Source organism: Homo sapiens, chromosome 3 (genome assembly GCF_000001405.40).
Source record: "Homo sapiens chromosome 3, GRCh38.p14 Primary Assembly".
Taxonomy (NCBI): domain Eukaryota; kingdom Metazoa; phylum Chordata; class Mammalia; order Primates; family Hominidae; genus Homo; species Homo sapiens.
The window spans coordinates 25,593,134-25,614,821 of NC_000003.12; the positions used below are offsets into that span (position 1 = coordinate 25,593,134).

At 35.9% G+C, this 21,688-nt stretch overlaps 2 protein-coding genes across 14 annotated transcripts in view; one reads left to right on the plus strand and one right to left on the minus strand.

The window, feature by feature from the left end:
- RARB (retinoic acid receptor beta) overlaps positions 1–4,799 on the plus strand; it is a 768,612-nt gene extending 763,813 nt beyond the window's left edge. For 8 of the 10 annotated variants that reach the window (NR_110892.2, NM_001290216.3, NM_001290300.2 and 5 more), the window contains 3 exons: positions 370–574; positions 1,387–1,545; positions 3,287–4,799. Coding sequence is in view for 8 of the 10 variants with exons in the window: in NM_001290216.3 (NP_001277145.1) it covers positions 370–574; positions 1,387–1,545; positions 3,287–3,483 (561 nt within the window). In the remaining 2 variants the exon portion in view is untranslated. The remainder of the gene's footprint in view (positions 1–369; positions 575–1,386; positions 1,546–3,286) is intronic. The other 2 variants (NM_001290277.1, NR_110893.2) reach the window with 2 other exon arrangements.
- TOP2B (DNA topoisomerase II beta) overlaps positions 4,772–21,688 on the minus strand; it is a 67,003-nt gene continuing 50,086 nt past the window's right edge. For 2 of the 4 annotated variants that reach the window (XM_047448821.1, XM_011534057.4), the window contains exons 28-35: positions 19,382–19,576; positions 16,435–16,579; positions 16,050–16,211; positions 14,038–14,242; positions 12,910–12,989; positions 7,967–8,092; positions 6,302–6,396; positions 4,772–5,344 (exon numbers count right to left, since the gene is read on the minus strand). In XM_047448821.1, coding sequence (XP_047304777.1) covers positions 5,174–5,344; positions 6,302–6,396; positions 7,967–8,092; positions 12,910–12,989; positions 14,038–14,242; positions 16,050–16,211; positions 16,435–16,579; positions 19,382–19,576 — 1,179 coding nt within the window. In that variant the 3' untranslated portion in view covers positions 4,772–5,173. Of the gene's footprint in view, positions 5,345–6,301; positions 6,397–7,966; positions 8,093–11,626; positions 11,738–12,909; positions 12,990–14,037; positions 14,243–16,049; positions 16,212–16,434; positions 16,580–19,381; positions 19,577–21,688 lie in introns of all 4 variants that reach the window. The other 2 variants (NM_001068.3, NM_001330700.2) reach the window with 2 other exon arrangements.

Sequence of the window (21,688 nt, forward strand, 5' to 3'; positions counted from 1 at the left end):
GTAAGCTCTTAAAAAATAGAATCTTATTCATCTTTTTTTTTTTTTATCTCCAGCACCTGGCACAGTGCCTGGGACATAATTAGGCACTCAGTAAATGTTTATTTGAGTCAAGTAATGAATTACTTTTAAAAAGATATTTCTCAAAATTTCTTATGTCCTGTTTAGTGTTTCCTAAAAAACTTTAGCCCCTGGGTTTTGACTTCTGTAGTCTCTTAATGAAAGAGCTAAAGAAGACATTCAACATGTGAAAGGGGGACAGACTGCCCCAAGAGCTCCTTGGAAATCTTCATGTTATTTCCTGCTTACATCTGATTGATGATTTCAGGACAGGATGGCTTAGAACATCCATCAATTTTTTTTTCCTTCCAGATTCTTAGAATTTGCACCAGGTATACCCCAGAACAAGACACCATGACTTTCTCAGACGGCCTTACCCTAAATCGAACTCAGATGCACAATGCTGGATTTGGTCCTCTGACTGACCTTGTGTTCACCTTTGCCAACCAGCTCCTGCCTTTGGAAATGGATGACACAGAAACAGGCCTTCTCAGTGCCATCTGCTTAATCTGTGGAGGTACCAACTATGTAGAAAAGCCTCATGAAATTCCATGAAGAACAGTTTATACTTGTAATTTGTGAAAAATTCCTCATTTCCCTTTTGGAGTTGTTTTACATGGGAAAACATGTGAATAAAGCCAGGCATACATGCCTGGTTTCATTGTATTTTTCCATGTTGTTACAAATTAACTAATGGTATTTGGGATCCTTCTGCTCAGAAAGAAATCCCAAAAAGCTATTACTCCAATTGCCACAGATTTTTTTTCTTAAAGGCAGGATCACACTATTATAAAATGAATTGTCTGGGGACATTTGAATGATGACAAGGGACTTGTATGTGCTGTTTGTTATCTAGTGGGTAGGCATACAAGTATTTGGCTGGGCCCTCCCACCAACCCTTGCAGGACTGGGATAAAATTTAGCTTTCTTCTTTGTAGTGACCCCTACTGGCCTATAGGAGGCTGAATCGTAAGTGGTTAAAAAGTAATGGTTTTAATTAAGGAGCAGATTTATTTTATGCTAAAATAACCATCCTGCTCAAGATTTGTTTTAATTCAGTTTGGTAGTGACACCTTCTGGTCAAAGGAGGTAATTCTTTCCCTGGGACAAAAGCAACCAGGCATCAAAATGTTTATACTACCAAGGGGGGGCAGTTTTTTTTTGTTTTTCAAGTATCACTGCTTAAAGCAACTGCATAAGTCTGCAAATTTGTGTATGTAATTGAATTACCAAATTAATGAACTCATAACAGTAGGAATAAGGAAACAAGGAAGAGGGGAAAAGGGCATAAATCCTGATTTTGTTTAATACTTTATTCCTGGTATCCAGACCGCCAGGACCTTGAGGAACCGACAAAAGTAGATAAGCTACAAGAACCATTGCTGGAAGCACTAAAAATTTATATCAGAAAAAGACGACCCAGCAAGCCTCACATGTTTCCAAAGATCTTAATGAAAATCACAGATCTCCGTAGCATCAGTGCTAAAGGTATGTCTTCGTGCTCTCAGTACTGTAGTCACACAGTGGACTTGAGGGCCTTACCAGGTTGTGTTGCTTTATTCAATTCAGGATGTTTAATGGCTGCTTTTAAAGTCTTGGAACTCATTTCTCATTGAAATCAAAAGGAAATACTATCCCTCCCCCCTCTAAAAAAAAAAAAAAAACACCTCAAATCTTACCCTATTCAATTATCTTAACGATTGAGAGCTTTAAAATTCATGACTGATTAGAAAAACATTGTTTTCAAGAGAATGTACTAAAACAGGCTAATTCTCTAGGTTCATACATTTAATTCCAGCTTTCTACACATCTCTGGTTTATGTTACCTTGACTCCAGTTTTTCTTGAATATCTAAACCTTTGTTAAGTTTCTCTCAATCACTTTAGCCATTGCTCTTTTGTATATAGGCAGATTTTCTTCTGCACACTTCTAAGCAAAGGAATTCTTGCCTAAGAGGTATATTCTTTGCCTAGTGATTTTCTGTTTATGTAGCAACTCAAGCAATTAATAGAGGTGCCTAGATCCATATCACAGTTGAGTGTTTAACAGTAAGGTTTTTCTATGTAGAGAGACAACTCAGCAGCTATCCCTGGTACCAAATGGGCTATTGTCATTCTCCTTTCCCCATCAGACTACTTACTCTGTCTCTGAAGATGTTTGCTAGCCAAGGAATAAACTCTGTATTTCAGAAAGTGCTTAAAAGCACAGGGAACTTGTTTGACAAGCAGTCTTAACTCGAGCTCCTTCTAAGAGGTCTCCTAGATGAGCATTCTGAATTCATCCTTGCATGGAATTAAGAGTAGAAGTAAACAGCAGATACCAGTGTGGTTGTGAATACGGTATCTTTGATTTTTAAAAATGAGGCTGTTTAACATAATACTATCATTCTGTATAGATGACTAGACTAGTGATATCTAATAGAATTTACTGCAATTACAGAAATAATCTGTACTGTCCAGTTCAGTAGCCACCAGACACAAGAGGTTCTCGAGCACTTGAAGTGTGGCTTATGCAACTGAGGCACTGTTTTTCTCATTTTATTTAACAAATTTAAATTTAGCTACCTAGTGGGTATTGTACTGGACAGAGTGCTGCTAAATCTAGTTGTCAATAGTCACTGCACATCGTGAACTCCTCTGTTTGTGGGTAACTGCCATCAACCTGTCTTTTTCAAGATACACTTCTTTCATCAGGAACTTCTCTTTGTAAATTGTTATTTCCTGAAACTAAGACATCATATTTAAACGTCACCATATCTCAGCTGCTTTTCCACAAAGTAAAAATGTTTTAATGGTGTAAAATAAGGATAGCCTCTGGGAGGCATTGTTTGCATAATTTTCTGTTATCAAAAGGAGCAATTGTATCAGTTATTGCTTGCATAAAAGACGAATGAAGTTCTAGCAGATCATAAAAAGACCCTCTCTATCAACATACTATGAGTCTGAGCTGGTTGAGAACCCAATCTAACTAACTTTGCAATAAACTAACACATGATTTTTGGTGGATGCAGTTCCCATTCCAAATACATTTATCTTTCTTTGTATTTATGAGTGTGATAGTAATCGATAGATCTTTTTCAACAAAAAGCCACCTGATATCTACATTTCATAATTCCTAAGCAAGAATCTTAGGAAACACCTCTGTTAAAATATATGAAAATTGGTCCCTGGTTATCTGTCATAGCTTAACTCCTTATCTTAACCATATTTCCATTATCTCTTTTGAAAAGGTGCAGAGCGTGTAATTACCTTGAAAATGGAAATTCCTGGATCAATGCCACCTCTCATTCAAGAAATGCTGGAGAATTCTGAAGGACATGAACCCTTGACCCCAAGTTCAAGTGGGAACACAGCAGAGCACAGTCCTAGCATCTCACCCAGCTCAGTGGAAAACAGTGGGGTCAGTCAGTCACCACTCGTGCAATAAGACATTTTCTAGCTACTTCAAACATTCCCCAGTACCTTCAGTTCCAGGATTTAAAATGCAAGAAAAAACATTTTTACTGCTGCTTAGTTTTTGGACTGAAAAGATATTAAAACTCAAGAAGGACCAAGAAGTTTTCATATGTATCAATATATATACTCCTCACTGTGTAACTTACCTAGAAATACAAACTTTTCCAATTTTAAAAAATCAGCCATTTCATGCAACCAGAAACTAGTTAAAAGCTTCTATTTTCCTCTTTGAACACTCAAGATTGCATGGCAAAGACCCAGTCAAAATGATTTACCCCTGGTTAAGTTTCTGAAGACTTTGTACATACAGAAGTATGGCTCTGTTCTTTCTATACTGTATGTTTGGTGCTTTCCTTTTGTCTTGCATACTCAAAATAACCATGACACCAAGGTTATGAAATAGACTACTGTACACGTCTACCTAGGTTCAAAAAGATAACTGTCTTGCTTTCATGGAATAGTCAAGACATCAAGGTAAGGAAACAGGACTATTGACAGGACTATTGTACAGTATGACAAGATAAGGCTGAAGATATTCTACTTTAGTTAGTATGGAAGCTTGTCTTTGCTCTTTCTGATGCTCTCAAACTGCATCTTTTATTTCATGTTGCCCAGTAAAAGTATACAAATTCCCTGCACTAGCAGAAGAGAATTCTGTATCAGTGTAACTGCCAGTTCAGTTAATCAAATGTCATTTGTTCAATTGTTAATGTCACTTTAAATTAAAAGTGGTTTATTACTTGTTTAATGACATAACTACACAGTTAGTTAAAAAAAATTTTTTTACAGTAATGATAGCCTCCAAGGCAGAAACACTTTTCAGTGTTAAGTTTTTGTTTACTTGTTCACAAGCCATTAGGGAAATTTCATGGGATAATTAGCAGGCTGGTCTACCACCTGGACCATGTAACTCTAGTGTCCTTCCTGATTCATGCCTGATATTGGGATTTTTTTTTCCAGCCTTCTTGATGCCAAGGGGCTAATTAATATTAACAACTCCCAAAGAAACAGGCATAGAATCTGCCTCCTTTGACCTTGTTCAATCACTATGAAGCAGAGTGAAAGCTGTGGTAGAGTGGTTAACAGATACAAGTGTCAGTTTCTTAGTTCTCATTTAAGCACTAGTGGAATTTTTTTTTTTTGATATATTAGCAAGTCTGTGATGTACTTTCACTGGCTCTGTTTGTACATTGAGATTGTTTGTTTAACAATGCTTTCTATGTTCATATACTGTTTACCTTTTTCCATGGAGTCTCCTGGCAAAGAATAAAATATATTTATTTTAAAGGTGTGTGGGAGCTTTTACTACACCTTTATCTTCAGTAAAGAGACAGAGAACACAGTTCCATTTTTAATGTTTAAATTTCATTTCAAAAAGCAGGTCTGTAGTTTGTAACCATGACAATTAAAATCTGTGCTAATGCACGGCAGTCTATAACAATTCTACAAGCCAATCAGACAGTACGTGACATTTCAATGAGTAAAAAAGAGCATAAAACTGTATGTGTAAGAACAAAATGTTAAAAGGCCTACCACAATAATAAAAAACCGTCAATTACATCATCACATTAAAATAAGCCAGATGTACAAAAGTCTGAGACAGAGAAGACAAAAGGACAACACAAGATATTTGTTGAAAAATGTTTGTGCTCTTTGGGCACTTAATTAAACATTGCAAAATCAACATCATCTTCTTCTTCATCAGACTCTGCAAAATATTTTACTTCTTTCCTAGCCCGACCGGTTCGTGGCAGAGAAGGTGGCTCAGTAGGGAAGTCTGAGGGGAAGATGTCCACATCTGAATCCTGATCAAAAGATGTCTTCTTCGGTTTCTAGATTTTTTTTCAATAGATTTAAAAGTTATGAAAGGAAGTAAAGACTAGTATTAAGAACTATCACTCCTTAAACTTCGCTTATGTTTAGGAAGTATTACAAATAATGGTGCTTTTAAAATTAGAATCATAATGCTAACCTAAGTGTAAGACCAGTTATCTTATTTTTTGGAGGAAAAAGATTACATACAGTAATTCACCACCTTGGTGGTTTCATATTTACCAAGTTCTAGCCTGAAAAATGTAACACCTTTATTTCTGAAATTATATATTACCCAAAAAGTATGCACAATGCCCAGATTAGTAAAAATTCAAGCTGTCCTACTGGTAAGTACATATCAAGAATTCATGGGAGGAAACAAGACTCCTGCACCGTGTGTAGTATGTGTGCACTGTAAGTGTTTAAAAAAATGCAAAGCATCACCGAGGTGGACCTGAGACATAGAAGATGACTGAATGGAAGAGGTCAATGTGGAAATCAACATAAAAAGGGATGCGGGGGAGCTGATGTCATTCATTTACCTAAAAGAAATAGTGTACTTCTGGAAAAGGGTCAGACTAATTGGAAAAATCAGCCACAGTCAAATGAATTCAATTAAAAAAAAAATCAAATTAGCCCTGGTCAAATAAATCCAAGTTAAAAGGAAACAGTCTTTAGTCTGAAAAATAATATTTTAGTCTGAAAGAGTCTAATATTTAGGTAGCATAACACTACTACAGTTCAGTGGATGAAATGGAAGGTTCTAAGTAGGTTAATTTATAGCACAGTTATTTAGGAAATAGTCCTGATTATATAAATTTATACTTGAATAATTTCTTAACCAAATACAAGCCCCATATTGATACGAGATGCTAGGTGGAAAGCTGTTCCAGGACTATAGTCATAAGCAAACTAAGTCACTTACAGATCTTTTTTTAAAAAGCCATGCACTAATATGCAATGATGTTCCCGGTTACCTTGCTTGTTGTTTTGGATGTTTTCCTGCCAGGGTTATAATCGCCTTCATTTTCAGAGCCAGATGCTTTCCTTTTCTTTGCCCCTCGGCCTTTACCTTAAAATGATACAAAAGGTTTTTTCTTCCGTGGTTAAGTGCAATATAAAAAGATAAATGCCACAACATTGTAGTTTATTTCTTTGGCATGCCCAATCAGTGGAGCATTGCAGTCCTGATCTCTTACTATGAGTGATTATAAACAATTTGGCAGTAGCATTTCAATTCTGGGGTTGACATGACCAAAGACTTTTTGACAAATACATTTAAACTAGTGGGAAAGTCCCAAAGACAAATTTTAATGATGAATCCCTTCATACATAAAACATTTGTATTTGCTATTTGGTCCTTGAGCCTGAAAAGGAAATATCTTGGAAGAGTACTTCTTAAATTACATGGGATTTAAATATTTTTTTTCATTTCTAATTTGTCATGGGCCAATACTTTTAAAAATACCATAGAACACAAATTACTAAAAAATGTAATCACATGCTGTTTTAGTAACACATTATTATAAAGGTCTAAATGTTTACTCCGTTTTACTTATCAAAGACTAGTAACAACCAATTGCATATCCCACATTAAGTGGCACCATATGAGAACCACCAGTATTAACTATAAAATGTCAAATACATATTCCTTCTCAGACCTAGACTCAGCACATGCAGCATTTTTTTTCACCTACCTAACCTCTTATTCTCATCATTGGAGGTGGAAGGAGAAAAGGTAATATTTAAGTAGGGGCCAGATGTTCTCCATCCCACAATGATGCCAATGAAATAAAACAACTAAATAGCAATTTTATATCTTTAAAATCCCTTGACAGCTAGACTGGACAAGTACGAAGATAGACTTAAATAATCTTGGGATGTCATATTTGATCAAATGAATCAGGGAAATAGCATTTTTGAATTTATAAAGGCTTTCAATCCTGCATATCTTGAGTACTACTTTCCCAGTCACTGTGATTCTTTTCCACCCTATTATCCCCATTTCCCTGTAGGTCTACAGCTCCTTATCCCAACCACTCCTTAAAGAAATATAAGAAACACACTGAGGAAGATATCCTTCAGTTGAATAAAAGGTAGAGCAGCTACCCTCACAGCATGAGCTACCCTCATATCATGTCTTACAAACATATTTTACAAAACATCTTCAAGGGCTTTCCAGATTCTGGAGTTAAAGAGGGGATGCCATGGAGAACTGGTGCTGTTCCTTGTGTGGCCCTGAATACAGTTATTTCTTAGGTGAGAAAAAAAGTTCTAGCCTAAGAGTCCTGGATCTAGCCCATTACTATAAGTGTCACAGTTAGTGTGGAGTACTGATCTGACTTTTTAATAACAACTTTCAGTGAGTTGGCTGCAGGGGAGAATTTGGACCATTCTTAGGGATTCTTATTTAACCTCTTTGAGCCTCAATTTTTTAATTTGTAAAACAAAGTGACTGAACTAAATTGCTATGCCTCCTTTGGACTATATTCAGCACTGATTCCTAGACACACTGCTTACTGAGGAGTAAAGCAATTTAAAACAAAATAGATACCTAGCCTCTCTAAATTCAATGAGGTAGAAAAAATTCAATCTTTTCCACACAGCATATGTTTAAAGGGTTATAAGAAGATAATCCTCACCTTTTGGTGTTGTAGTCTTCTTTGGAATGCCAAATTCTGAATCCGAGTCAGAGTTTACAGCCTCTACTACTTTCTTCTGTTTTGGGGCTCTCTTGGGCTTAGGGACTGTATCTGAAGACGGTTTTCCTAGTAAGCAAATTTCCATTTCACAGGTCAATATACTTACCAACAAACCAAACTGAAGAGAGTCCTATATAAATGGAATTTCTTATAGCTGATTAGAAACTGAGTTGCCTGGCTGGGCGTGGTGGCTCACACCTGTAATGCCAGCACTCTGGGAGGCCAAGGCGGGGTGGATCACCTGAGGTCAGCAGTTCAAGACCAGCCTGGCCAATACGGTAAAACCCCATCTCTACTAAAAATAAAAAAATTAGCCAGGTGTGGTGGCAGATGCCTGTAATCCCAGCTACTTGGGAGGCTGAGGCAGGACAATCGCTTGAACCCGGGAGGTCGCAGTGAGCTGAGATTGCGCCACTGCACTCCAGTTGAGCAACAAGAGCAAAACTCTATCTTCAAAAAAAAAAATTGAGTCGCCTTAAATAATGAAATGGTTTCTCTCTGCTTGGCGGCAATGTAAAGGCAAACAATTTCTCATAGATGACAAAATGCTTTTTATTTAATTATGTATAATTTGCCCTTAGGTAATACAATTAAGACATTTTAAGGAAGAGCCATTAAAATAAATTAAGCAGTAACTTTTAAATACAGAATAGTCATGACAAAAGAGTAGCATATTTGATAAATTAATTATAACCCAGATATAACCACAGATTAAGTCCTAACTTTTAGAATGTTTTAGAGAAAAAAATGTATGGGATCCTCGAATACAATGAATAGAAACCAACTCACTTCCATTCAAAAGCTGAAATCCAGACTTGGCATTTTTATGTGGAAAGAAATATAAAATCCTAGATAAGTAGACAATTGATACCAGGCCTTTGCTTTCTGGAATTTTGAAAAATAGACCTTGTTTTACAGCTTTATCTGCAGTTCTATGTGAAAACTGATAAATAAGGCCAGTTGCAGTGGCTTACACCTGTAATCCCAGAACTTTGGGAGGCCAAGGCAGGCGGATCACTGGAGGTCAGGAGTTCGAGACCAGCCTGCCCAACATGGTGAAACCCCATCTCTACTAAAAATACAAAAAATTAGCCCAGTGAGGTGGCGTGTGCCTGTAGTCGCAGCTACTTGGGAGGATGAGGCAGAGGAATCGCTTGAACCCAGGCAAGGGAGGTTGCCGTGAGCCAAGATCACGCTACTCCACTCTAGCCTTGGTGACAGAGCAAGACTCTGTCTCAAAAAAAAAAAAAGAAAAAGAAAAAAAAAAAACTGATAAATCACTTTTTGTAATTAAGAAAACCTAATTTGGAAGAAAATATATTAACTGTAGACTTTGTTTAAAAAAAAAAAAAAACCTACACTGATTCTATGGAAAATGTATTCCAGTCGCAATTTGAGACACTACAAATAAGGCCCCTCGTTAGCCAAGAGCAGGAGGAGCCCTAGGAAAGTGGCACCCAGATTGTGTGGCTTTTCCCACCTGAGTCTTCATGACTATATCTACCACAAGAACCACAGGGCAGCTCCTAGCAGGGAGTATAAACTTAGCCAGGTGTTCTAGGAACCACTTTTTTTCCTTGGCTTGGAGTTACATGGCACTTTCAATTCTACCAGGCAAACAGGTCAGATATCTGAGTACTATAGCTGCCTTTCTGCTGTAAACTATTGGAACTACAGAATTTAACTTGTGTAACATACGCAATTTGGAGTTAACATAGACAATCCCACAGAGGGATATGATGCATCCTCTTCTTGAAATGATATTTTATTGGAATTATATTTCGTAAGGGAGGCTAAAGGAAAGCTGAGGACTTGCTGGGGTCCCTGAAATCACACCACACAGGCAGTCTACCTATTCAACTTAGACAAGGCCAGTTCAGCTACTGAAGAAGGAAGCAAGTAGGATAGGTACCATGATAATCTAGCTTTTTGGTCATGCTAAACTCATTAGGTTAAATATGGGTGAACAGTTTGATGAAGGAAACGGGGTATGTTTCAGGAAGTAATACGGCTCCCAAGTTTTCAGGGTGTTTATAAGATGCTCATATGAAGATTATTTTTTAAAGGTGCTTTTTGATTGTTCTGTTGTTGTTATTTGAGATGGAGTCTCACTCTACCGTCCAGGCTGGAGTGCAGTGGTGCCATCTCAGCTCACTGCAACCTCTGCCTCCCAAGTTCAAGCGATTCTTGTGCCTCAGCTTCCTGAGTAGCTGGGACTACAGGCATGCATACGCCACCACACCAGGCTAATTTTTGTATTTTTAGTAGAGATGGGGTTTTGCCATGTTGGCCAGGCTGGTCTTAAACTCTTGACCTCAAGCAATCTGCCTGCCTCGACCTCCCAGAGTTCTGGGATTACAGGTGTGAGCCACTGCGCCCAGCCTGATTGTTTTTTTAAAAAAGAGAAATTATAGGGTCCATCTCAATGTGGGTTCCCCAGATTTGGGCCAATCTGCCTAATCCTAGAGTATGGATTCAAGTATAAGTATTTATTTGAGAGATAAAGGAGGGGGAGACAAAAATGAGACAATGAAGAGAAGGCAGCCAGTAATAGGTAAGTTACCAAGCCAATCATCACTCTAGGAGCTTAATTCCATAAGAAATTTTTGAGTCCCAGTGTGAAACACACATCCCACAGTTGGCTCACATGAGAGGCAAGGACACTGAGATATTTATAGACCAACTTTCCTCAATCTGCTAGTTAAAGGCAGCTGGGAGCAGGGGGGTGTTAATATTCCAGCACAGTGGCAAAGAGGAAGTCCTCAGGCAACGAAAGGCAGATATTGCCCAATATGCACTAAGTGGTAAGGGACATGGGTAGGTCACCCAGTGTGTTGGCTACAGAGACTCTTGTAAATAACCAGTTTCTCAATATGGTTCTACTGCATTCAGAATAAGCAGGACTTTTCAAAATTGTTGTTCTGCTACATTCAATACATGTGTCTGTAATGATGTTGTCTGTTGTGAATTTTTAAAATCCTTGAGGGAACAATCCATATTATTTACTTGCTGTCTTAAATAGCACACATCTCAATTAGATTTGTGGGGTTTTTTTTAAGTGTCATCCTTCAAACACAAAGCACAAATACTGACCTCTTTCAAAAAGACCACGGTACATATATCTTGGTACTAGTAAGAGATTCATTAATCAACTCAAAGTGTTTTGTGGCCAATCTAAGGCTGTGAAAAAGAGAGAAGCTGCATGACTCACATAGAAAAAGAGGACCTCAACTGAGCTGACCAATCCCTCCACATAAGGAGTTGAGTCATGATCAACATAGATAACAGAAGCAAGCTACTAGCAAGACAAAATTTTAATCTCCATTACAACCTAACCACAAGGGAGCTTTTGTAGAAAGCTATCTTTAGATAGTAATGCACGGGATTATTTTATAATTACAACAGCTTTAAAATTAAGTCTTACAGAAATTTTATTAACGCCCTCAGATGGCTAGAAAACGAGAGGTTCTCCTTATAAGCACTTATACTTCTTAATTGTTTTATGATAAAAAAATGCAAATAGTTTCAAATTAAATTACATTTCCTTTTACATTAACTATCTCTATCCAATGCTTAACTCAATCAAATATAAGTACATACCCTTTTTAGCAGCTACCGTTTTACTTGGAACTTTATCTGTCTGTTTCAGACCAAATGATGGTGAAAAAACAGAAGCAGAATCTTCTTCATTACTGTCAAATTTAGCTGAATCTAAAAATTGCAAAGCCTTCTTTTAGTAAAGAGATGTTATAAAGATCTCTCAGTAAACTTTGACTCTTTTAACTGATGACTTCCCTTTAGCTAGACAATTGATCTTATGTTACTATTTTGTGACCAAATAATCCACAATATACAAACAGCTAAAAATAAAATGTATCAGTTATACACCAAAAATGTTAACTATGTGGTGAAATAACACAGAAGTGCATAAAGTAGTAAAAATTAAAAGTCCCAAATGCTAAATATTTAAAACATAACTGACCAATTCAAAAATACATGCTGCCAATTTATTTTAAAATGAGATATGAAAATGTCCCACTGTATTATTTTAGTACCTACACAAATAATACTATTAACCATTTCAGGAATATCAGTAATAATGTTTAAATCTAAAAGAATAGTAAGTATTCCTATTTTTAAATAAATTTTTGAAGACTAATTTAAAAGGCAGACAGGCTTACCTTCAGTTTACTCTTGCACTCAAATTAGTGTAATGCGTTCTTCCCTAACACCATAGCACAAACTTTTAAAATAGCTACTTGGATGTAAATAAATATGTTTACACAACTCTTTTGACACACTGTCAAAAATGAGTACGTATACATATAGAATATGTACCAAATATGTCTAAATGTATAGATGTGTGTATTAAAAAATGATAGTGAATCAATTAAGTGACCTTAAAAATTCCATACACAAAAAAAATACGAAACAAGAAGTATACACACTGATTAAATTTGTTCTTATGACGGTTTTAATCTCTCAGGTAACAACCAATCTGCAATCACACTGGTGCCCTTACAGATTTAGAAAACTGTCGTATATACATTCACATTGCCATGAAAATCAAATTTCAAGCTTTCAAAATTTCATTATTTCTTTTCTCTCATTAAAACACTACACATACACTCACACCCATAAACACAGATAAGCATTTGCCTGTCCACCTAAATGCTTCCATAATGCCTATTTTGACCAATTAGTTAGGAATCACCTCAGAAAAAGTAAAGAAGCCTTATTATCTTGAGCAAAATATAAAAAGGAAGTTTTCTACTCATTAAAAATTCTGAAGTTAAATCATGACCTAACGATTTATTTACTGTTTTCTCTCCACCACTAAAAGCAATAATACAATAACCAATGAAAAGACTAAATGAACATACCATCTTCTGACTTCTGAGAATATGAAGGAAATGAGAAGAGATTTCCAAAATCCTGACTTTTTTTGTCATGCAAAGATTTTCTATTAGAAAGAAAATAAACACCACAGAGGATACAATTTAAATATCTGATTTCAATCCTGATAAATTATATATAATATTTACTGCAGGATTATAATCACAGAACAAAACTTTAGTTTTCATTTCTTTCTCTTTCTCTGTTAAAGACAGGGTAATAAAACTCTTTCTCTCTTATGTGTAAAAGTGTGCACACATACCCATGATCCATGTGCACATACCACGTATGCACACAGACACCATACAAATCAATTATTTAATATAAAAAAGAATGGAAACTAAGCAATGGTTTAAAGTTATTCAAAATACTTTGAATACTTAACCAAATTCTTAAACCAAATTCTACAGTTGATAGAAATAACCATTCCAGAATTTAAGATCAGCAAACTATGGACAAAAACCCAAGGAAAAAGACAGAATTCCCATCACACCAGGCAACAATCCTATTTCTAATTCAAGACTACAGGTGGGCAATTATTTCAGGATCTGGTGAAGGCCAATTGTAATAGGTGAGAAAATACTTTTAAAAAAACATCTAAAATAGTTCACAAACCTCAAATCCCAGATGTATTCACGCTCACCAAAAGCAAGAAAAATCTATCAAGGCCAAATTTAGGGAAGAAACAAACCTCCCAATTCTAAGGACTTAGTAACTTTTCTCAAAACCAGGGGTTGTCCAACTATATCCCATGGACCTGCTGCCTATTTTTGTAAACAATATTTTACTGGAACATGGCTACACTGATTTATTTACATATCATTTGTGGCTGCTTTTTTACTAGAATGGCAGCATTAAGTAGTTGTGATAGAAACAATATGGCCCACGAAGCCTAAAACATTTACTATTGAGCCCTTTATGGAAAAAGTTTGCCAATCCTTCCTTTAAACTACAGCAACTGTGATGGGAACAGCTGCAATATTAACAAGATTGATTCCTTCATGAAGAAGAACTTGCCTAGAATGATAACAATTTCTTAGAAGAGCTCACTATAATATCTTTGGCAAATGTTTACAACAATTAACTATACCACATCACTAAATAGCATTACTTACTCTGGAGTGGCTTTTGATTTGCCTGGTGAAAATGTATATTCATCTTTATCTAACCCATCTGAAGGAACAAATTCATCTTCCCCATCATTTGTTATGGGAGATGCTTTAACTTTCAATTCCTCTAAATCATTATTGTCATCATCATCATCATCAGCATCATCATCCTCTTCTTCTGAGAAATCAAATGTGTATTTAGGTCTTTCGGCTAGGAGGAAAAATAAAAATGAATGTTAAACTCAAATCCTAGCTTTGTATACATGAATTATTATTACTGATAAAGCATTTGAAGTATATTCCAACCATCTCTAAAAATACCATAAGAAATAAAAGCAAGCATTTACAGAATAAAAGCCAACAACTTTGGCCTTAGTTATCTGGTAGTGTTAATGTCTGTCTTACACTTTCCAGGAGGCTACCACATAATACTGTGCATGTTAGGAGAGCATAAACTAATGTACTTATTGATATACTTAATAATTAATCAAAAACACTGAGGAAAGTAGTCAATATGGCCTTGTCTCATACAGCCATTATACAAATGACAACAAATACAATGTTTCCCATATTTGCAATCACAAACAACAAATTTTACAGTTATTTTAAAAGTGCTAAACTTTCTTGTTTTTTTGACACAGAGTCTTGTTCTGCTGCCTGGGCAGGAAATGCAGTGGTATGATCATAGCTCACTGCAGCCTCAAACTCCTGGGCTCAAGCAATCCTCACCCCTCAGCCTGCTGAGTAGCTGGGACTACAGGTGTGCCACCATTCCTGGCTGATTTTTTTTAAAAAATTGTTTTAGACACAGGGTCTTGCCATGTTACCCAGGCTGGTCTTGAACTCCTGACCTCAAGTGATCCTCCCTCCTCAGCCTCCCAAAGTGCTGAGATTACAGGCGTGAGCCACTGTACCGACACCTAAACTTTCTCTTAACTTTTTGGATAAAAACTTCTATCTTCTCTTCAGAGTTAGTTTTACTATGAAATAACAAAGACAGTAATTTTTTAGATGAATGAAAAAAGACAGGAGACATAAAGACCTCAATATATTCACAAAACAATAATACAATGCATAAAAAGATACCAATTATCGTGAAAGGCATATTGCCATAAAGCAAGTATGTTTTATTATAATTTCTAGCATGTATTATGGAATAAAATTTTTAAATTACTTGGATGTTAATTTTGCACTTCACTTTTGATGTATGTAAATACAATTTTAAAGCATTTAATGTAATAAACCATTTTCATATAACTTACTCATATTAAAGATTCACCTATATTATGCTACCTATGTACACTAGGGAAAGAAATTCAATCACTTGGTGATTGCAGAACCAAAGAATTTAAGGTCTGATATATAATTAAAAATGTACTTCCCAGAGGTAAACACCCACAATGTTGTATCATTCATTTTAATAAATTAGGACAAATTTTCAAATAACAAAATTTCAGAAGAATGTACAAAATAGAAAACTCACTAGATGTTAATAACTTCAACACTTCTCCTTAATGAAAATTCAGAAAGGATCAAATTATATTCTTATAAGTACTATATTATTATAACAGCAAAATGGGATTCTGCAGTTCACCCGCACAACTATCATTATCTAAAAGAGAGCTATGTACTCAGACTTTTAAAGCGGGAGGAAATTTTTCATGATATAAGGGGTAGAAAACCAAACAAAAACAAAACCACAAAGCACTTCTAATATTAATAGATCTATCATTGCTGGTATTGTGGCAAGGTACATTTTTTCCCAAACATCTTAAAACTGTGGAAGGAATATAAACCAAACTTTATAATAAAAATCAGGAAAGAAACATGATTCACTTTAGAGAAATTTATGTCCAACTTTGCTAGAAAGACTGTTCTATAAGGCAATTTTTTCCTTCTTCCTAACTTTAACTTCTGAAATACTAATGGCTTAGTACTTAAACAACACTGATAATACTAACAATACCAACGTATAGGTTAAACTATAATATACAGTAATATTAAATGTGTTACAATACCTGCTGCTCTCCTAAGCAAAGAATCTCTTGGAATAACCACAGGTTCTGTTTCTTCCAAATCACTTTCTGACTTGGATTCATCATCTGACCAAGGATTCCGTTTCTTCACTTTCTTTGCACTAGGTTTACCAGATGATGTAGGTGTTTTTCTCACTCTGGTACCTAAAGCAAAAGAATAGCAATAAGGTATGTATCCATATTTATAGAAATGTCATTAGTAAAAATAAAATTGTTATAATGAAAAGTTCATTACAAAATAAACGTTTATGAAAATTGAAGGCATTATTTCAACTACCAGAAAAAGAGCACAATCAAAAGAATCTAGTAATACTCTATACAAATATTTTTTCTCTCACACACATGCAAAACTATAATCATTTCTCACCAGGCTCCTTCTTCTCCCTCTTAGGTTTGGGACCTTTATTTATAGGAACTGATGGAGTCAATGCCTCTTCTCCTGCACCTTCTACTGGTGCTCCACTGAATTCTTCATCAAATTCCACTTTTACTGCTGCAGTATCAAGATCACCCTACATAATAAAAAGAAAATCAAGCCACGAGTAAAAATAAAAACATCACATATTTTAGAGATAGTTTCAATCAACAGATAGCGCCTTCAAATCAGGTAAATTTAAAAACAGTGATTCTGATGAGGTCCTAACAGCTGACTTTGATCAGACCATGTTTTACTTCACTTATCTATAGTAAATAATATTGCATGTAACTCTTAATTTTCCAGTACATTCAGTGAAATGACAGCTACTTAGAAGCAACCATAAAAAATAAGAAGGCAGCTTTTGATTATCAGAGGGATTTCCAGACCACTAGCTAAAAGGTACCTGCAAAATAAGTTTCTATAGCTCAGGCAGGCCTTTATATACCATTAAAAAATCCTGTAACCCCAGCTACTCAGGAGGCTGAGGCAGGAGAATTGCTTGAATCTGAGAGGCGGAGATTGCGGTGAGCCTCTGGCCTGGGAAACAAAAGCGAAACTCTGTCTCAAAAAAAAAAAAAATCTTCAAATTATTGAAGGAAAATAAGTAACATGTGTCTTGCACTGCTAGGCACTGTAAGGTAGACCCCAACCCTAAGACCATGGGGTAAAAAAACAAAAACAAAAAACACAGAGGCACACAACAAGGATGAGTCATTACAATACAAATAACAAATATAGAGGCTGGTACAGCCATGGCCCAAGGGGAGAAGTGAGAAACTCTGCTCAAGGCAGGGTCAAAAAAGTCTCCATGGAGAAGTACCTTTTCTGACTGAGTTCTAAAGGAAACACATAGGTTTGCCAGGTGGGAATTAAGGAGGGAAGGGCATCCCAGGCAGAAGGCACAAAGCCATCTAACAGGAATTAAATGTTTAAAGAATTAGGTTTTTAAATGTAATAGTCTGCTAGAACTCAAGGAAAAGTGAGAACAAAGTAGCCAGGAGAAGAAACACACAGAGGCATACAGGTGCTAACACTGTATACCAAGAATTTGTGCATAGTCAGTGGGGAGTCACTGAAGATTTTTAAGCCTAACAATCAGACTGACTTTTTAGAATTTTCATTCTAGTAGTAAAATATAGAACTTAAAGGAATGAAGTAGAAAAGGGGAGAAATCATGATTAAATGACTAGAAACAGAGAGTTAAGAGGACCACTTTAAAGTATCTCAGAGAAAACACAAAATTCTAAGGCAATGTCAAATGGGGACCAAGATAAGGGGGTGGATTTTGGAATTACTTAGTAGGCAGTCAATAGGACTTAGTTACTGATTAAATGACAAAACTCCCAGGTTTTTGGCTTATATCATTGATGGCTGATAGTGTCATTAACTGGGATAAGGCAAAGAACAGATTTTGAAATCAGGATAATGAATCCAGTTTCAGACATGCTGAGTTTGATGGGCTTCAAGCATTCAAGTGGCTATGAGCTTGGCACTCCTGAAAGCATTATAGCTTAGGAACACAGATTTAGGGGCCATCAGTATGAATGGAATAAGCTCTGGGCATAGATAAGGTTACTTGAGGGGACCATATAAGGTAGAGAAAAGAATGCTGAGAAATGAATCTGACAAACGCCAACTGAAAAGAAACCATCTTCCGAGGGAGACAGGCAAGAGTATCTGGGTAAATGAACCTGTGTGCCGTGGGGAGCCAAGTAAGAGGAAAGTAGTAGAGACCTGAGTTTATCAGAACAGAAGAGAAAGGCTACTCTGGTGTCAAAATGCACCTACGCTTCAAATATTAGCTCTGCACAGAGAACTCTCCAATCTCTAACTCTAGCTCTTTAGGCTCATTTTCCAAGCTCTAGTAAGAATGAGGCTATATTCCCACCTACTTGTTGGACACATCTAAACGTATACTTTCTGGATTGTAAAAATCAACCTGTCCAAAAACATTAGCCTCTCTAAGACCAACATGCACCCTGTTTCCTCAGCTCTGAACATTTTTTCTGATGTTTCCTTCTTCCGGCTAACTCTGGTCAATCCTGCTTGAGGTTAGGTCAACGCCATTTTTTTTTTTAATCCTCAATAGCACCTATCAGTGCCAATGACACAGGATGTGCTTGGTAGTTTAAGGACAAACACAAGTAAATAGTAAAAGATGACAGAGTACTTTGTAAGCCAAACAGACCCTTTCCCACTCTAAGTCTTCTCTAATGGATTATGATGTAGCACTAAAGTTTATACTTTAAAGTTGATATACTTATGGTTGGGTTTTTGGAGGTTTTTGTTTTGTTTTGTTTTGGCTTCCAAGATTTTTATTTTTATTTATTTATTTTTTTTTGAGATGGAGTCTCACTCTTGTCAACCAGGCTGGAGTGCAGTGGCACAATCTCGGCTCACTGCAAGCTCCGCCTCCCGGGTTCGCACCATTCTCCTGCCTCAGCCTCCCAAGTAGCTGTGATACAGGCGCCCACCACCACGCCCAGCTAATTTTTTGTATTTTTTAGTAGAGACGGGGTTTCACCATGTTTGCCAGGATGGTCTTGACCTCCTGACCTCATGATCCGCCCGCCTCAGCCTCCCAAAGTGCTGGGATTACAGGCGTGAGCCACCGTGCCCGGCCGGCTTCCAAGATTTTAACTTAGAAGGCAGCTGAGTGGAGTGTTTCTATTTCTCATTTTAAAAGCTGAATTAAGTAGCTCTTTACAATATGTGATCCTTTACCAATATGTTTTCCTTCTATAGATCAACTGCTGTCATAGAAGGATTTCCTATTACCATTGAAATATATTTTGAATAAAACAAAGCATGATTTAAACACGCATTAAAATTTTTTAAATTATACATATATTTCATTATAGAAATGAGTCTATCAATGACAAGAGGTATGTCATACCTTCTTCTTCTTCAGCAACTTTTTGCTGGCATCTGCCTTCATAGCTGTAATTTCAGGAATTATTCTTCTGCCATAAGGTGAGGGCATTGTCTCTTCCAACTGGAGTTTCTTCACCTTAGGTTTGCCAACTTTACCTTTAATTGCTTTTCCAGACATTCCAGCCAGAACATCTTCTCGTTCTTGAGATTCCACTTTCTAAAGTATAATCATAAGGCAGAAGGAACATAAACAACTTCTTAGAAAAGATAATCACTACTTCATAAAATACTGAAACAAATGTTATTCACTCAGTAAAGAATAAAGCTTTCCTTTTAACTTATCTAATTCAAGATTAAATAATGGAAAAAAAATAAAGAATTCTAAATCAGAAGACCTGGATTGTAATCCCAATTCATCTAACTAGTTTCCCATTTGTAATACGAGGGGGCAATAGTGACTAAATGACCTGAGAAGTCTCTGCCAATTCTTGGATCCCGTGATATATTATGGAATCAAGACCTCTGATAACCTAGTATCATCAAAATCCTAGCAAATCATATACAAAGGCAGTTCTGCTAATAAGTATGAAGTTATTTTTTTCTATTGCTTTAGTCGTAATAGAAAATATGAAAAAAAACCTCCTAAATGTAAATTAAAGTCAGAAAGTATGAGAAGTTAAAAGTGCCAATATAATTAGATTGAACTCAGGCAGGTCTATGTAATGATAAATTAGGATATAATCATGATTAATATCCTAGATTTTGCATTTACCAGAATTATTCCTTAAAATAAGCTTTGAAAGGCACAAGGAAAAAATGACATTTCTTTAGAGATTTTTTTAAAAGATCTTTGTAGCACAACAGTTTAATAGAAATTACCCAAGCTTTGAAATCAGATAGTTCTGGATTTCAACTGCACTTCCACTTACTAGTTATGTATCCTCAGGAAATAACAGAGGCCAGTTGCAGTGGCTCACACCTGTAATCCCAGCACTTTGTGAGGCTGAGGTAGGTGGATCACTTGAGCCCAGGAGTTTGACACCAGCCTAGGCAACATAACAAAACCTCATCTCTACACAAAAATGCAAAAATTAGCCAGATGTGGTGGCACACATGTCCCAGCTACTCAGGAGACTAAGGTAGGAGGACTGCTTGAGCCCAAGTGGTTGAGGCTGCAATGAGCCATGATTGTACCACTGCACTCCAGCCTGGGTGACAGAGCAAGACCATGTCTCAAAAAAAAAAAACAAAAAAGCCAGATAATTTATAGAGCATCCACCATGTGCTAGGCATTTAAAAAATCCTGTGATCCCCATTTTATAGATGAGGAAAGTGGGTGTCTGAGAAGATGAGTAATTCTATAATGATATAATTCCTAAGAAAGTGACTTAACCTCTCCAAGCTTCAGGATCCTTATCTGTATAATACAGGTTAATGATAACCTCATTCATTTGAAGTTGTGGTGAGGGTCACTCTAAGCATTACATAGAAGGCTGTGCCAGTGTACAATAGATATTCAATTAATGTTATCATTAGACTTTAAATGATACAGAGAGACATGAAATTTAAGTCTAAATCTTTTTAAATGTTAAAAATAAATACATCCAGAATTTAAATAAGTTGTTTGGACCTATTTCATTAATTGTCAAATAATAAAATAAGATGATAAATTAAAAGTGAAAGAGTATTTTTTGCTAGGGTTGTTTTGAATGACGACTTTTCAATAGTGAGGAAATGTACAGGCATAACCACAAAAGTTTCCTGTGTTTCACTATATTAGTGACCAAATTTAAAGCAATATCAGGATATCAATAATATTAGGAATAATTTTTCTTTTAATATATGATGGCTTCATTTTTAATGAATAATTTTTAAATAAATTATAACTCAGCAGGAAACAATGTGCAAAAAAACTAATTAATGAACAATATACGGAAAGCACAAAAAAAGGAAGACTCACATTGCAGCACTTGAAAGATCGTTGAGGGAGCCTAGAAAAATAGCACTAAAAAATTCTAAATTCTTTTAGGCAGCTAATTTACCACACTTGTTCTTAAGAGTTCTAATTCTGACTTAGACCACTGAAGTAAAAGTAGAGCATGTAGACAATAAATCAACAAAGCAACTTTAAAAAAAAAAAGTAGTATGAGTAATAAATGGTATTTTACATTTTGCTACTCAAAAATCAGGTATTCATAATGCTACCATTAATTCCAATATTTTAATTGGGCAATTTTAGAAAAGGTGTGCTTTTTATATCTCTACATTTTTTTTATTTTTTAAATTAGAATTCTACTTGGAAAAAACTATGTTATAACAATCAAATATT